At 37.1% G+C, this 17,515-nt stretch overlaps 1 long non-coding RNA gene across 1 annotated transcript in view, besides 1 other annotated feature; it reads right to left on the reverse strand.

The window, feature by feature from the left end:
- Positions 1-16,671, reverse strand: part of LINC02286 (long intergenic non-protein coding RNA 2286) — a 31,778-nt gene extending 15,107 nt beyond the window's left edge. Inside the window, exons 1-3 of the long non-coding RNA NR_184204.1 lie at positions 16,596-16,671; positions 16,176-16,236; positions 5,810-5,950 (exon numbers count right to left, since the gene is read on the reverse strand). This is a non-coding gene — a long non-coding RNA (long intergenic non-protein coding RNA 2286). The remainder of the gene's footprint in view (positions 1-5,809; positions 5,951-16,175; positions 16,237-16,595) is intronic.
- Positions 4,354-4,516: a silencer, noted in NCBI's record as "fragment chr14:25613152-25613314 (GRCh37/hg19 assembly coordinates)". NCBI's record gives its function as "represses an EF-1alpha promoter that drives an FKBP-Casp9 reporter gene in an ReSE screen in phorbol 12-myristate 13-acetate-treated (for megakaryocytic differentiation) K562 erythroleukemia cells {active_cell/tissue: K562(+PMA)}" and the evidence as "EXISTENCE:reporter gene assay evidence [ECO:0000049][PMID:32094911]".
- Positions 16,672-17,515: the final 844 nt, after the last annotated feature.

Raw genomic sequence — 17,515 nt, forward strand, 5'->3', positions numbered from 1 at the left:
ATGAAGCTGGAAACCATCATTTTCAGCAAACTAATACAGGAACAGGAAACCAAACACTGCATGTTCTCACTCATAAGTGGGAGTTGAACAATGAGAACACATGGACACAGGGAGGGAAACATCACACACTGGGCCTGCTGGGGGATGGGGGCAAGGGGAGGGATAGCATTAGGAGAAATACCTAATGTAGATGACGGGTTGATGAGTGCAGCAAACCACCATGGCACATGTATACCTATGTAACAAACCTGCACGTTCTGCACATGTATCCCAGAACTTAAAGTATATTAAAAACAACAACAAGAAAAATAACAACAAAAAAACACTGGTGAAGAATCCATACCAACAAGCCCCAAACAATAAAACATCTCGCTATTCAGAATGATTACTTTCAGTTTAATGTCAGCCTCCTATCCCTTGGAGATTGAGGAAAGTGGACTCACTTATTCTTGGCATATTTGAGAACCTATTTTTAGCAATGTAGAAGTGCCACAGTAAATGACCAGACAGGAAAAGACAAGCAGAGAAATTTGGGAAGGTATTTCATCGCCTACCAGCCAGTTCGTAAATGTTCATTTTAAATGATTTGTGGTAAGAGTATAGCACTAAGTTGGTTTCTTTCTGCTCCCAGCACACTCCTTCTGGGCAGTCTCCTTTTTTTAAACAAGTATGACGGTACACTGACAATGTAAATTAGTTTTAATATTTTAAGATTAACCTTACCTTGGCTCCTGAGGTCTTGGTGCATTCTCAAGGGAAAGGAAGGAAGGCAAGTAGGGCAGTAAGGGCAAGAGAATTATTAAACCCATCTCAAGTCCCACTTTTCTCTTGATGAGGATGGTGACCTGTCTTAAAGCTATGGTCTTCTACCCAGGGGTTCTACAAAGACCCTGAGATTATATGTAAAATATTGTGTGCATCGAATTGTTACAGAAAGACACTTTCCAACTCCCTCCCCATCATCTTTCTTTGCCAAGTCATTCTGCAACACTTGCTATTCATGGACAGCTGTTCTTACTCCTTCACACTTTCCCAAGCCTGGAAACCCTCATTTTATTCATCATCGGTGTATTTTCATTCTTGCTCCTGCAATCCATTCTGTTCTCAGTGGTCAGTGAACTCAAGAAAGAAAAACCTTGTACATTTATACATGGGATGGGGAGGGGACAAAAACAAAAACAAAATCCCTCTTTGGTGGCTCCCCTTTGCACTTATAATAAAATCCAAAGTTCTACCCTGCAACCTAGTCTAGTGCCACCCCCTTCCTCCAGAAGTTTCTTCAGTTCTGCTTTCTCTCTATTCCACAGTGCTGTGCTCTTCTCTGATTCTGTTCTCACTGTCTGCAGTGCTCTCTTCTCTCTTTGCCTGGCCAAATTCAATCCATCCTGCAAGTTCAGCTTAAATTGGACACTCACAAAGGGAAATTATTGAATTACATCTTCTAAACGTATTTTTTTCTATTATGAATAGCATCTTCTAAAAAAGTTTCTTGGCTAGGTGCTGTGGCTCACACTTGTAATCCCAGCACTTTAGGAGGCTGAAGCAAGAGGATGGCTTGAGCTCAGGAGTTCAAGACTAGCATAGGCAACATAGAGAGACCTCATATCTACTAAAAAAAATTTTTTTAAATTAGCCAGGCATAATGGTGCACACTTGTAGTCCCAGCTACTTGGGAGGCTAATGTAGGAGGATCACTTGAGCCCAGGAGATAGAGGCTGTAGTAAGCTTTGATCTTGCCATTGCACTTTAGCCTGAGTGACACAGCGAGACCCTGTCTCCAAATTTTTTTAAAAAGTTTCTTATTATATTTTAAAACTATGTATTTATCTTTCTATTTATTCATATAATGTATATCTCACCTCATAGACTCAAGTTGTTGTGAAGACAGGTGCCTTTTTTCTCCTCAATAACTATTGTATTCCCATGCTTGCCTGAGTACCTGCCTGAAATATTGCATGGTCTTTAAAACTATTTATTGATTCACCTACTGACTGACTGACTGAATGAATGAACATTATTGGCATTTAAATTAAGCAGAGTAGTTTTGTTAGAATAAAAAAATAATGCTAAAATAAATGCAGACATTAAAAATTATTGAGGAAGGTATTTATTGGCATAGAAAGATATCCTGGTGGCTGGGCACAGTGGCTCACGCCTGTAATCCCAGTACTTTGGGAGGCCGAGGAAGGCAGATCACTGGAGGTCAGGAGTTCAAGACCAGCCTGGCCAACATTGTGAAACTCTGTCTCTACTAAAAATACAAAAATTAGCTGGGTGTGGTGGCACATGCCTGTAATCCCAGCTACTTTGGAAGCTGAGGCAGGAGAATTGCTTGAACCCGGGAGGCGGGGGTTGCAGTGAGCCGAGATTGTGTCACTGCACTCCAGTCTGGGCAACAGAGTGAGACTCCATCTCAAAAAAAAAAAAAAAAAAAAAAAGAAAAAGAAAAGAAAGATACCCTGGTATATTTTTGATTGGGGAAAGAGACAATTTACAAAATATTGTGCATTGTTTTATCTTTTTTTTTGTTTTGTTTTGTTTTTTGAGACAGGTCTCACTCTGTTGCCTAGTCTGAAGTGCAGTGGCATGATCACAGCTTACTGTAACCTCCACCTCCTGGGCTCAAGTGATCCTCCCACCTCAGCCTACTGAGTAGCTGGGACTACAAGTGTGTGCTACCATGCCTGGCTAATTTTTGTATTTTTTGTAGGAATGGGGTTTCACTATGTTGGCCAGACTGGTCTCGAACTCCTGACCTCAAGAGATGCACCTGTCTTTGCCTCTCAAAGTACTAAGATTATAGGCTTGTGCTACATGCCTGGCCTGGTGTTTTAATATTGTATATTAAAAAGAAAAATATTGGATACAAAGAATTCAAAATTTCATTTAGGTAGGAGGAATAAGTTCAGGGGATCTATTGTACAACATGATGAATATAGATAATAATATGTTGTGTACTTATTAAAATTGCTGAAAATTACCTAGAGTAGATTTTAGATTTCTCATCACATATACAAAAGAAAAGTGTGTAAGGAGATAGATCTGTTAATTAGCTTGATTTAGCCATTCTACAATGTGTGCATATATCGAAACATCATGTTGCACACCATAAATATATACAATTTTGAAAATTAAAAATAAAAATATTGGTCTACATGTATATGCCAAAATGTAAACAACAGTTCTTTGGGTGGCAGATTTTAAGTGGTTTCTATTTGTTTTATTTATTTGTGTTTTTTTCATATAATTGCTTTGTTTTAAAGTTATAGAAGCCATTGATTCCTTAAGTAATCTATTAATTCATTCAACAACTATTTGTTATCTACTTTGTGTCAAGCATTGTTCCAGAAACTGGATTTATGTGCTGATTATAAAATTCAAGTGCAAATCCTTTTGTGTACACCTTCTTTTTAACATTTCTTTCTCGTTAACCACTTTAACAGTGTAGATGGATCCTTCTAAATGTTTTCTTTGTTCCTTTGATAGGATTTATATACATTTTGTTCTACGCAGTTATAGATTTTTGAACATAATATGATCATACTATGCCTATCGTTCTGTGACTTCCTTTTTAGCAACTTAATATATCCAGGAAAAATTTTCATGCCACCACATTTAAAGGTATCTCATTAAGAAGGAAAAAAGCTGCATGTTTCCATAATTATTTCATCAATTCTCTTATTCATGAGCACTTTGGTTGTTTAAAATTTATTCTCTAAGTTACATGCACACACACCCAACAATATGTTATTTTGTTATTTGGGTTTTTTTGTTTGTTTATTTGTTTTGTAGAGATGGAGTTTCACCATGTTGGTCAGATTGGTCTTGAACTCCTGCCTTCGAGCTATCTGCCTGTCTTGGCTTCCCAAAGTACTGGGACTACAGGTGTGAGCCATCATGCCCAGCCCCCAACAATATATTATTTGTTTAATTAAAAGTAAGGTTAAAAAAAAGACAAGGAGCACTTAGCCATTCATGACACAAGGCAAATGTTATGCCAAAATGGCTTGTACGCTGGAAAAAAATTACAATTAATGTCCGTGGACTAGACTTGAAAAGGTGAGTGTTGTGACCACTTTTCAACTTGAAATCGACTTTTTGTGTCTAGAAATTCTTTTTTTTTTTTTTTTTTGCGACGGAATCTTGCTCTGTCGCCCAGTCTGGAGTGCAGTGGCGGGATCTCAGCTCACTGCAAGCTCCGCCTCCTGGGTTCACGCCATTCTCCTGCCTCAGCCTCCCGAGTAGCTGGGACTGCAGGCGCCCGCCACCACGCCTGGCTAATTTTTTGTATTTTTTAGTAGAGACGGGGTTTCACCGTGTTAGCCAGGATGGTTTCCATCTCCTGACCTCGTGATCCACCCACCTCGGCCTCCCAAAGTGCTGGGATTACAGGCGTCAGCCACCGCACCCAGCCTGTGTCTAGAAATTCTTAAATTGGGTCAATCTGAACATAAGGCCAAGCACGTCAGTGGTAGGCAATATTTTATGAGCAGATTAAATTATTCACATTTTGACGCCATTGTAATGATTTTTAGGTAGATGAAAAGTGTTTAATTTTAGTCTTTTCCCAAAGGAAGAATACTTTCCTTCAATGAGTTACTGTATATTGGTGATGCTTGCTGGGAATCAAAATGTGGTGAGAAAAGAAATTTCTCAGAAAAAAAAAATCTCAGAATCTTTTATACTGTAACAGAGGAAGGATGAAAGGGAAGGCCAAACTTGAATTACTTATGCAGATTTTATTTGGAAGTGATACCTACTTTATATGTTTGAAAAATGCTCATGCTTCTAATATTAATACCTATTGGATCAATAGATATGTTACAGCATGTTAAATTATATATAAAATAAACAAGATAGTGTTAGTGCTTGCCTTCTACAGGCTTAGAGTCTATAATTCCAAAGGTTATCTATGAATTTCAGATCTGAAAATTAGAGATTCACCTATGCCTTTTTTTTTTCTTTTACTTATTCTTAAGATTTTAAAGTAAAATTTACATAAAGTGGAATGCACCTATTAAGAATGCAGATTGGCTGGACGCAGTGGCGGATACCTGTAATCCCAGCACTTTGGGAGGCTGAGGTGGGAGGTTTGCTTGAGCCCAGGTGTTCGAGACTAGCCTATGCAACATAGGCAGATCCCATCTCCACAAACAATAAAAGAATTAGCTGGGTTTGGTGGTGCGCATCTGTGGTCCCAGCTACTGGGAAGGCTGAGGTGAGAGGATCACTTGAACCCTGGAGGTTGAGGCTGCAGTGAGCAGTGATTGTGCCATTGCACTCCAGCCTGAGTGACAGAGTGAGACTTCATCTAAACAACAACAACAACAACAACGAAAAAAAACAAGTGCATATCGATGAGCTTTGACAAATATATGAGGCTCTTTCATCCTTATCTCAACTGGGATATATTTCTATCACCCCAAAACTTCCCTCCTGCCCCTTTCCAGTCAACATTCTTCTTGTGCCCTAAGTCAATCATTCTTCTGCTTTCCCTCATCATAGATTACTTTTTACCTGTTCTTGGACTTCATATAAACAAAATTACATAAGTTCTTTTGTATCTTTTCTTTTATTCAACATAATGTCCCTAAAATTTATTCACATTGTTCTGTGTATCAGAAGTTCATTCCTTTTTATTGATGGAGTGCTATTTCATTATATGGTTATATTTCAGTTTGCTTATTCATTATCCTATTGATGGACGTTTGGGTTGTTTCAGATTTTGGCTATTATGAATAAGGCTGCTTTGAACATTTTATACAAGTCTTTTTGTAAATACATGTTTTTGTTTCTCTTGGGTAAGTACCTAGGATTGGATTGCTGGGTCAAAGAACAGGAGCCTGTTTAACTTCAGAAGACACTGGCAGCTTTCATTTCTTCTTTGGTGTAACGTGATATTCATTTTTTAGTTCTTCTGAAGTACTTGAGGGTCCTCAGAGGAATGAATCTATTAAAGCAAGAATGATTATTAATTAAAGTTTGTGACAAATAAAGTATGCAATTTTTGTGTCAGGAATTTCACCTCTGCAAAGAGTTGTCTCAATTACCTAAAATCAAACTTAATTACCTAAAATCAAACTTAATAATTACCATGGCGTTCCAAAAGCCTTAAAGGTCAATGTACTTCATATAAAATCTTGAATAATCTTTTAAAAAGAAAATTGTATTAGTCAGGATCCAGCCAGGAAAAAAAGTTATTTTAACAAGAGAAAATTTAACATAAATAATTGTTAACTAGTTATACAATTATTAGCTAGGTAACTGAAAAGGAAAGAGAGAATAGCAAAGTGTAATATAAGTAGCAATTACAGAAGCATCTACCTTTCCCTCAGGGTGGAGGAAAAGGGGAAGAGATTGAAATTCTTAAAATTTAGTAGTGTAGGTCTAAAACTCAGACTGTATGGGCATTGCTTGGCACATGTTGATGTTTTGAGGTGGGGTCAGGTGCCTATAGGCCTGCCCAGCCTACTACCTGTTTTTTTGTATAACCTGGGAGTTAAGAATGGTTTTTATATTTTTAAAACATTGATTAAAAAATAAAAGAATAAGGGTGTTAGTTTCCTAGGCCCACCTGTAACAAAGTACCACAAATTACATGACTTAAAACAACAGAAATTTACTCTCTTACAGTTCTGGGAACTAGAAATCCAAAATAGAGTTAGCAACAAGGTGATGATTTCCTGGAGATTCTAGATAGAATCCTTCTTTGACTTTTTCTAGTTTCTGGAGGTGGCAATCAGTCCTTGGCTTGTGGCTGCATTGCTCCAATCTTGGCTTCCACTCACAGAACGGACTCCTCTCTGTGTCCATGTCTTTGCATGACATTTTTCTCTCATAAGGGCACCATTTGGTTGTGTATGAAGGCTCATGCCTGTAATTGCAGCACTTTAGGAGGCGGAGGAAGAAGGATCACTTGAGCCCAGGAATTCAAGACTGGCCTGGGTAACATAGCAAGACCTCATTTCTAAAAAAAAAAGTAAAAAGGATACCAGTCATATTGGATTAGGGCCACCCTAATGACTTCAACTTAATTTGATTATCTGCAGAGACCTCATTTCCAAATAAGGTCACAATCACAGATATAGGAGGTTAGAAGTAAAACATATCTTTTTGAGAGCACAATTCCACTTATAATGATAATAATATTTTGTGACACATGAAATTCATATAAGATTAAAATTCCAGTGTCCAAAAATAAAGTTATACTTGCCATGCATATTCATTTAAATATTATCTACACCTGTTGCTACAACAGCAGAGTTGAGTAGTTGCTATACGAATGAATGGACTGCAAAACTTGAAATATTTTCTATGTGGTCCTTTATAGCAAAAGCTTGCTGACACCCATTCAATGTGACTGGTTTTGCAAGGATTGGAAAACATGCACATTGGATTCAGCTGCTGCTACTGGAAGGCCTTGATACTCTCAGATGAAGAAGACCTATTATTGTGTGATGCCCAGAGGGACATGGAACAGAGAAGTCCACAGGAAGCAAATGAGAAGGGGGAAGTTCCTTTATTCTCCTTCTGTCTTTTAGTTTCCCTATGTTGGTGGAGCTTAAGAGGGAAAGCCTAAGTTGGGAAAATAGAAGTGTGGTTTGTGAAGTCTCAGTTCCAGAAACATAAGGCAGAGAGAAGAGTAGCTTTGGAATTGGTAGATAATAATTTGTACATACACACACATGCACATCCAGCAAGGAAAAAATATGCATAGCTACTATAATCCTCATTTCCGTAACAACTCGAGGTCATAGTTTATATTATTCTTCTAGAAGTATTTTATGTAAAATAAACATATTTATATAGGTATAAAATTAAAATTACACACACATATATATAAGTATATATATATATATATAAAACCAAACAATCATTTTGAGATGACTGTAGATTTACCCACAGTTCTAAGAAATAATATAGAGAAATCCCATATACCCTTACTTACTTTCCTCCAATGCTAATATCTTACAGAACTTTAGTACAGTATTACAACTAAGATATTGACATTGATACAGTCAAGATGAAGAGAATTTTCATCACAAAGATTCTTGTAGCATTCTTTTATAGTATTCTTCCTTCTTTCTCACCCATTCCCAACCTCATTCTTAGCCTCGGGAAATCACCAACCTGTTCTCCATTTCTATTATTTTGTCATTTCAAGAATGTTATATAAATGGGCTCATACAGTACCTAACCTTTTGGGATTGGCTTTTTGGGCTCACCATAATTCTCCGGACATTCATTCTAGTTGTTGTGTGTATCAATAGTTCACTCCTTTTACTTGCTGAGCAGTATTGCATGTATGGATATACCAGATTTTGTATAACTGTTCACTCATGGAAGGACATCAGGGCTGTACGCAGTTTTAGGCTATTACAAATAAAGTAGCTAAAAACATCCATGTATAGGTTTTTTTATGGATGGAAGTTTTTTACCACCCCCTTCCCGCCCCCCGCAACTAAAAGCTGGTCTATTTTGGGTTCTCCATTCTGTTCTTGGGTTGGATGACAGTTGCATATTTAGTTTTATAGGAAGCTGCCAAAATAATCTCCAGAGTGTCTGTAGCATTTTATATTCCCACCAGCAATGTATGAGTGATCCAGTTTCTACACATTTTTGTCTGTATTTGGTGTTGTCACAATTTTTTATTTTAGCCATTCTAATAGGTGTGTAATGATATCTCATTGTAGTTTTAATTTACATTTCCCTGCCAGTTAATGATGTGAAATGTCTTATAATGTACTTATTTGCCACCTGTATATCCTCTTCACTAGTATGTCTGTTTATGTCTTTTGCTCATTTTCTAATTGGGTTTTTCCTTGTTAAGTTTTTAGAATAGTTTATGTATTATAGATACTAGTCCTTTGCCAGATACATTTTTGCAAATATTTTCTCTTAATCTGAAGCTTGTCTCTTCATCCTTTCAACAGAACCTTTTACAGAGCAAAAGTGTGAATTTTTTTTTTTTTTTTTTTTTTTTGAGATGGAGTCTCACTCTGTCGCCCAGGTTGGAGTGCAGTGGCGTGACCTCGGCTCACTGCAAGCTCTGCCTCCTGGGTTCACACCATTCTCCTGCCTCAGCCTCCAGAGTAGTTGGGACTATAGGCATCCACCACCATGCCCGGCTAATTTTTTGTAAAAAGTATGAAATTTTGATGAAATTCAATTTATCAATCTTTTCTTTTATGGCATGATTTTGGTGTCAAATCTAAAAATTCTTTAGTCTTAGATTCTGAAGAGTTTCTCTTATTACTTTTTTCTAAAAGTTTTATAGTTTTAAAATTTCACTTAAATCTTTAATCCTTTTTTTTTGGGTGGGGGGGACAGGGCCTTGCCCTGTCATCCAGGCTGGGGTGCAGCCTTGACTTCCTACACTCAAGCCATCCTCCCACCTCAGCCTCCTGAGTAGCTGGTACCACAGGCACATGCCATAATGCCTGGCTAATCTTTTGTACTTTTCTTTAGAGATGAGGTTTCACCATGTTGCTCAGGCTAATACTTTTTGAGTTAATTTTAATTTGATGTTGAAGCTTAGGGCCACGTTCATCTTTTTGGCTTACGGATGTCCAATTGTTTCAGCACCATTGTTGAAAAGTTATCGTTCCTCCATTGAATTGTTTTTGCACCTTTGTGAAAAAGTAACTGCACATATTTGTATGGGTCTATTTTGGGTTCTCCATTCTGCTCCATCAATGTATGTGTCTATTTTATCACCATGTAGCCTTGATTACTGTAGCTATATAATTTGAAATCAAGTAGAGTAATTCTTCTTGCTTTATTCTTTATCAAAATGGTTGTAGCTATTCTAGTTCCTTTGCCTTTCCATATACATTTTACCATAATCTTGTCTACATCTACAAATTCTCTTGCTGGAATTTTGATAGAAATTACATTTGACCTGTATATTGAGAAGGCTGTGAGTTAGGTTAGCAATTTGCAGAATCAATTTCCCTGTAACCATCTCCATTGTTTATTTGCATATATTAATATTCATTGACACACAAGCCAGTGTGTGCCTGTGTGTGCATGCATGTGTGTATGTAAAGAAAAAAGGGGGAGGGAGGAACTTCTTCCTTCTCCTGATTTGGTGTCATATGAGGTATAAGCAGCTCAGTGAGGGTTTGGGGCACAGGTGAAAAATCTACCAAATAAAATCTTTAGATACAACCATTAAGATGTGACCAATTTGGTTGAGGTATTTTGATGCAGGCCATTTAAAACACAGTATCACTGTTGTATTGCCAACTTATATTAGTAACGAATATCCCTGTGTCATTTCTAACCCCCATTCAAATCATGGAGGATTTTCATATTCAGTTGTGTTTATTTTTGTATTGGCCCACATTTTTGTCCTATGTATAAAGTTTAAAATTAATTTTTAAAAAATTTGAATAGGCAATGGATATATTCAAAATTTAAAAAATGTAATACATCATATAATACAATCACAAAAACATCAAAACAATATATGAAGAAGCAAACCTTATATTCTTATAGCCACACTATCCATATCCATTTAATTCTACCCCGCCCCCAACAGGTAACCACTTTTTAATTTGTTTATCATTCCAGGGAATAACCCGCATATATGTTTACATATACACTTAGAGTATTTACTTCAAAACACTATCATTAAAAATGTAAATAAATTTTGACTTTTTATTACTTTGTCTGACAGTAAATATGGTCTATGATCTCAGTTTGTTCCATTTTTAAAAAACACAATTTGTAATAATGTATCTTGAGAGTGAATACCCTCATTTGTAAAATTTTTGTTAAAACTTAAATCTTGGCAAGTTTTCCCCTCACTTTCTTACCTTTTATGTAACAATATTGTTAGATAAATCTGTTTAATTTTAAGGCCTGAAGATTCTTTATAAATCATGTAATCTTACTCAAGACATTTTGAGATCAGGAGAAGAGAAGGAGTGTGTTCAGGACCACAGGGTCAATTTGTGGCAGAGCTGGGAGTGGAACAGAGGCCCAGTCCAGAGCTGCCCTCTGCCCACACTCCTGAATACACCCATTGCTGTGAGATGACTCAGATTTATTGTTACCATGGCTGAAATCCATTGGAAAAATGTTTCTGCCATTCATCTCAATCCTCTGCTAGTCATGTGGTTTATCCTTTATAAATGAGGATTTCTTCTTTTTTGTTGACAGTTTCATGATTTTAGTTGTTTCTGCTCTCTTAACATTTGCCCAGTTCAATGATTAATCCTCTGATCTGAGCCCACTTAGACTGGAGTAATATCTTGCCAATGAGAATGAGCAAGTGAATAATTGAAATTTTTATTAAGGATGAAATTTCTTTACTATGTTATATTTATTATATATATGATAGTTTCAACTTTCTGAGTCTCTCTTGTCAAATGCATTCTTTCTCATTATCTCCTTTATAAAATGTTTAATTTAAATGGTCAGTCTTCTGTTCTTATGCAGGAGAATGTCAGCCTGATCCTCAACCAATTAATACCACGTTTCAAGTTGGGTTTGACTTCTACTAACGTAGTAGTCTGACCCCTAGTGGTTATAAGAAACATCTGCACGGCTTGTAAGCAAATTTTGACTGAATTTTCTGAAAAGTGAATATCGGACAATGAATTTCTCCTTGAAAATAAATAAAATAAAAATAAGAGAAGAATTTTGAGTCCATAGAAAAAATAATAGGGAAGTTCAGGTAAAATCATGTTTCTATAAAAATAATTTCAAATCGGTATTTTTACTGATTTTTTAGTATTATGTGATCAGGCTGCACTTATGTAACACATTTATGGTGAACATAACACACTTATGTTCCAGGAATTCATTCTATGTTATTTATTGGAAACAAAGCTTGTTTGCCCCCAAAATTAATGTTTTGTCATTGTCCCAGCATGCCCTTTCTAGTCTGCGTAGAATTGGGATCAAACTTAGAGCTGGATGACATTTTTGTGGTCTGAAGATCAGAGAGCCAGAAAGGACTGGCCACAAAGTGAAGTCACAAAGTGAAATTATCAGTAAATCTAAGCAAACTCTGTCTTTCATGAGGCCCTGAGGTCTAGGAGGGCCTGAGTCACATCAGGAGAGTACAGCCTGCCCTTGATTCTTGGGAGCTGGGAGGCAAAGTCGTGCTGCAGGGGAGAAGGAGGAGGGTCTCAAGAGTGCAGATCCAGAAAGGAACAAACTGTAACAACTATAAATGCAGTATGTGCTTACTGTAAAAATGTCCAAACAGAAGGATATGAAGTAAAAGGTAAAAATTCCTCCTTTTTTTCCAGCCTGAGTTCCGCCAAAACCATAGCCTAGAACTATGTACTTAGACATGCAACCACCAGACATTTTTTTGTGTGCATGCATGTGCGCACGCGCACACACACACACACACACACACACACGCACTGTCTTATTTCACATGGGTTCATGTTATACATATTGTTCTATAAATTGATTTCTTCACTTAATAAAATATCTTGGACATCTTTTCAAGTCAGTATATTCTTATTGTCTGCCTATCTACTGTTCTGATACAAGAATGTGGGCTAATTTATTAACTATCCTTAAGTAATTTACATGTAGATGTTTTTAAAAATTTTCTGCTATATAACCAGTGTTTTAATAAACATCCTAGGGCTTGTAACTACAGACTTATACAAGTATATGTGTGTGTATATATATATATATGGAGTAAATGCCATTAAAATGAAATTTTAGGTCAAAGCTTATGCATAATTACAATCTTGACAGTTAATAAAAGCATATTTTTGAAATTGATATTGTCCCATCTCCCTTTCTTCACTTATTCCTTGTTCCTGGTGCCCCTTCCCAGGCCCTGATGGCTTTATATTTCTCTTTCCCTTAGTCAACCCTGCCCTTTGTCCTTTATGCACATCTAACCTTTTCTTTTGTGAAAAGAATGAAGTCTTCCCCTGTGAATTTCCTCCACTCCCTTTGCTCTGTGTAGATGTGCTGACACTTTTTTCTCTCCCTCTCTCTTTATGCCTCTCAGACAGCTGAGGAAGAAGCACCCTTCTAGCCTCCACCTGTTCACTTTTGCCACATCCCTTCTTATACTTTCTGAGCCCTTCTCCCATCAGGTATCCCTTAATGCTTCTTTAATCTCTCCTTTTTTACTTCTTGTTTCTACCTGGTTATAAAATGGTATCCTCTATCCTTTAAGCCATGTTTTCCATAGGCTGTCTTCTAAACACTATTTTAGGAGGTACTCAGTGGAAAAAATAATCATTTCGTCAAATAAATTTGAGTCATTCATATACTGTTAACTTCCTTTTGAATATTTAGAACTCACAGTAGCTTGTTAAAGGTGCTGAGAAGTTCTGCAGTAATGAAAAGACATCTGCTTACCTTTGCTTACTCTGTATATCCCTAAATTATTTTACCATAAAACCTACCCTTTCCCTTTTTAATCTTCTGTAATGTTTTTTAATATCTATAGATACCTTTTGGGAAATTTTTCTTGTCTCTGCAACTCTAAATTCTAAAGCTAAGGTTTTTTAACTCTGCCAAATTCCAAAGCTAAGGTTTTTTCTTCTATTTTTTAAATTAAAAAAATTTTTAAATGGGTAGATAATCATACATATTTATGGGGTACGTAGTGATATGACAATACAAACAATGTGTAATGATAAGATTGGAGTAATTAGCATATCCATCATTTCAAATATTTATCATTTCTTTGTGTTAGGAGCATTCAATATCCTCCTTGTAGCTATTTGAACCTTTATATTGTTATTAACTATAGTTACCTACAGTGCTATAGAATTTTAGAACTTAGTCCTCCTATCTAGGTATAATTTCGTATCCTTTAACAAATCTCTCCCTACCTCCCATCCCTTTTCCCCTACACTTCTTAGCCTCTAGTATCCTCTGTTCTACTTTTTACCTCTATGATGTTAACTTTTTTTAGCTTCCACATATGAATGAGAACATGTGGTGTTTAACTTTTTGTTCCTGGCTTATTTCACTTAACATAATGTCCTCCAGTTCCATCCATCAAATGTCATATATATACATGATATGGTTTGGCCATGTTCCCATTCAAATCTCAATTTTAATTGTATCACCCGGAATTCTCACGTGTTTTGGGAGGGACCCAGGGTGAGGTACTGAATCATGGGGGCTGGTCTTTCCTGTGCTGTTCTTGTGATGGTGAATAAGTCTCATGAAATCTGATAGGTTTATCAGGGGTTTCCACTTTTGCTTCCTCCTTATTCTCTCTTGCCGCGCCGCCATGTAAGAAGTGCCTTTTGCCTCCTGCGGTGATTCTGAGGCCTCCCCAGCCATGTGGAACTGTAAGTCCAATTCAACCTCTTTTTCTAATGGCTGATAGTATTCCATTGTGTGTATATACCACATCTTCTTTATCCAGCCATCTGTTGTTAGATCCTAGGTTGATTCCCTATCTTGTCTATTGTGAATAGTTCTGTAATAAAAATGAGAGTGAAGAGGTCTCTTTGTTACACTGATATTCTTTCCTTTGGATAAATGCCCCAGTAGTGGGATTGCTGGATTATGTGGTAGCCCTATTTGTAGTTTTCTGAGGAACCACGTACTGTCTTTTGTAGTAGCTTTGCTAGTATAAGTCCTACTAAACACATGTAAGTTTTCCGTTTCTCTGCATCCTTGCCAGCATTCATTAGTTTTTATTTTTTGATAATAGGGGCTGAGATCATACCTCGTTGTGGTTTTGATTTGCATTTCTCTGTTGATTAGTGATGTTGAACATTTTTTTCATATACTTGTTGGCCATTTGTGTGTCTTTTAAGTTTTTTAAGGTCTAGAGTATAAAATTTATCTCTGCACTTTAAAAAAATACTGCTTATTCTTAGACAACCCATTGCAACATGGTCTCTACCCTGACCATTCTACTGTAGTCCGCTGAACCTATTTGATTCTGGGTTCCCGGTTGCTAAATTGGGGCCTTTCTCTCAGTCCTCCTGTTGAATTTCTTGCTAAGGAAACAAATGTTTTTTGTTACCAGAGTTTTTGATTTAATTGCAAAAAAAATTAGTAATTGATACACATAGGTCTTGAAACTTCTTCCCTTTCCTCGCTTCTGAACCCAGGAACTCTCCAAGAGCACCAGTTCATTTTGAAATTCTCTTCTTACGGCAGACAGGGATTCAGGCAGTCCAGGAAAGTCTGCTAGTTGAGAGAAACTTGAGCAGTTCCTCTCAACTAGCAGAGTTCCTCTAAACTTATAAAGAAATTGCCACTACTTCTCCTGTGTGCCCTTTTTTCACACAGGAGTAGTGGCAATTTCTTTGTAAGTTGAGCATTGTCTAAATAGTTCTAAAAAGAAGATGCGGAACTCACATACCAGTTCAAGAATCTTTCATCTGACGAGAAGGTAAAGCTGAAAATCCAGACACTGTGTGGAGTAATGGCAGTGGGTAATTACCCAAATATTTATATTTTCAACATTTAAAAATTTTTTTCTACAGCTATTGTTGGGAGAAACAGCTGAGTCATTTGTTCATGTTGACTAGGTTTTATTTGTAGAATAACTTACATTATTTTCGAGTTGGCATGTTGTCATCATTTCCTATTCTGTTTCCAGGGTCAGTTCTGCCTTCCTAAAAATGTTTCTGACACTTCTATGTTTGTTTAAATGAATTTTTTCATCACAACAATTGATTACAGAAGTCAGGATATGCCAGACCTTGACTGCCTATTCATGAGAGAGAGAAGTTATAGGGCCAGATGATGTCAGTTATCAGATGTTAGAGCCAGCCTGGTAAGACATGAGTTGGGAGAGAATTGAAGATCAGAGGAGTCCCATATGAAAGGTGAAACCAGAGTAAATGCAGAAAAGAAAACTGTAAACATTGATGGTCATGTATGGAGGTGCAATGCCTAGATTCACATTCGATAAAACTGTCCCTGGCCCAGTCCCTCAGATGGAAGATGAGCAGCTCCTGACCCCTGGATAGGATTAAAATTGTTTTGCAAATTTTAATAATTTCATAAACTTCTCTGAGATGACAATCCTCATTTTTGAATCTTCTCTGTTTTTTTGAAGCCCTATGCCTGGAGCATGGTGCTGGCTTCTGATGGGCAGGCATCTTTCTCTTCATTTTACATCCACAAATAAGTTAAGTGCCCTTTGGTGCAAAATCATGACAGAGTTGGGAATCTAGTAGGTTCCTGAGACCTCTGGGTTGGGTACTCACCATTCAAATGTAGTGGTTGGGAAACACTGCTTCCTAATGCTGCATGTGCAGAAGTTATTTTCTGAAAAAGAAATTTGAGGCTGTGCTAAGAAGGAGACACATAAATTCAATTTCTCTTTTCTCCTCAGTCCCTCCACCTTCCCTATACCAGTTGCAATCCTATTACCAATTGTCTGGTGGTAGGGGGCATCCAACACTAAGAAAAAATGTCATTAAAGAAAATAGTAGCCTTTAAAGGGCTTTTTAGTGATTTTCAATGAGTTTAACTGTTATCCTCAGGCTTTTGGACAACATTATCTATTCCTATTGAAAATAGATTGCACTTTTTGTTTTTAAGCTGAACGTGCCTAGTGCAAGGAAACTACTAAGATCAGTCTTGATATACCAAATTGAGGACATTATTGTAAAATTCATACTTACAGGGCAATTTGGATACTTATAAGGACCAAAGGAAGGTATAGGAAAAGGAAAAGGAAAAAAAAAAGAGGAAGTAAATGAGACCTGAGAAAAAGAAAAGGCTCTATGAGGTCATGATGAATAGAACAATGGCTCATTATTACATATGGAAAAGAGTGACCTTGCTGAGACTCTGAGAGGCCACCTATGCCGTAAGACACCCTCCACCACCAATGAGCTCTAGGTGCTCAAGGAAGATAAACATAACTGCATAAGTCTCATGAGGGGTGGGAAAAAACAAACAGAAAAACCCCACTGTTGTCTGGGTTCAAAACAGCTTTACTCTGAGATAATCTTATAAAATTGTACAGGAAAAGGGAAAGCAGTTCTCTATTAACTGGAGAGAATGATAAGCCACACACATCCCAGGGCTAACAGTCAATGATCCCAAATGAGCACCTGTAGGGGGACAGAGGCCCGAGACCAGCATCACTGGAAGATCCCAGACCTGAGCTGTAAGGAGTTGCTTTCGTGGTGTTTGGTGAACTCTTCCCTTACTAATCCCTCCCTTGGAGACTGAAAAAGTGATTTTTATAAGAGGTCCAATCCTGATGAGGGTTAGGGGCCATTTAAATGGTACATGTGGGTACTTCTGGAACTTTTTCAACTATTTGGAGAGAGAAGGCCCTATATAAAAAGGCTGAGACCTTTTGCTCCTCAGTTGAGAACTTAAAACACTGAGATTGAAGTAATTATATACATAACTCTGCTATATTCCCCACATACGCAGCCTGAATCCTAAGCATACTACAGATGATTTTGCTGCACACTAAAGTGTGGTAATCATTAGCTAGGGTTGATCAAGCCCAACTTGATGATCTCTGAGCATTGCTTTCTCACTTGTTACTTTTCAAGAATTGTTAAAAGAACCTGCTCACCTCTTA

The sequence above is a fragment of the Homo sapiens genome, chromosome 14 (assembly GCF_000001405.40).
Source record: "Homo sapiens chromosome 14, GRCh38.p14 Primary Assembly".
Classification (NCBI taxonomy): domain Eukaryota; kingdom Metazoa; phylum Chordata; class Mammalia; order Primates; family Hominidae; genus Homo; species Homo sapiens.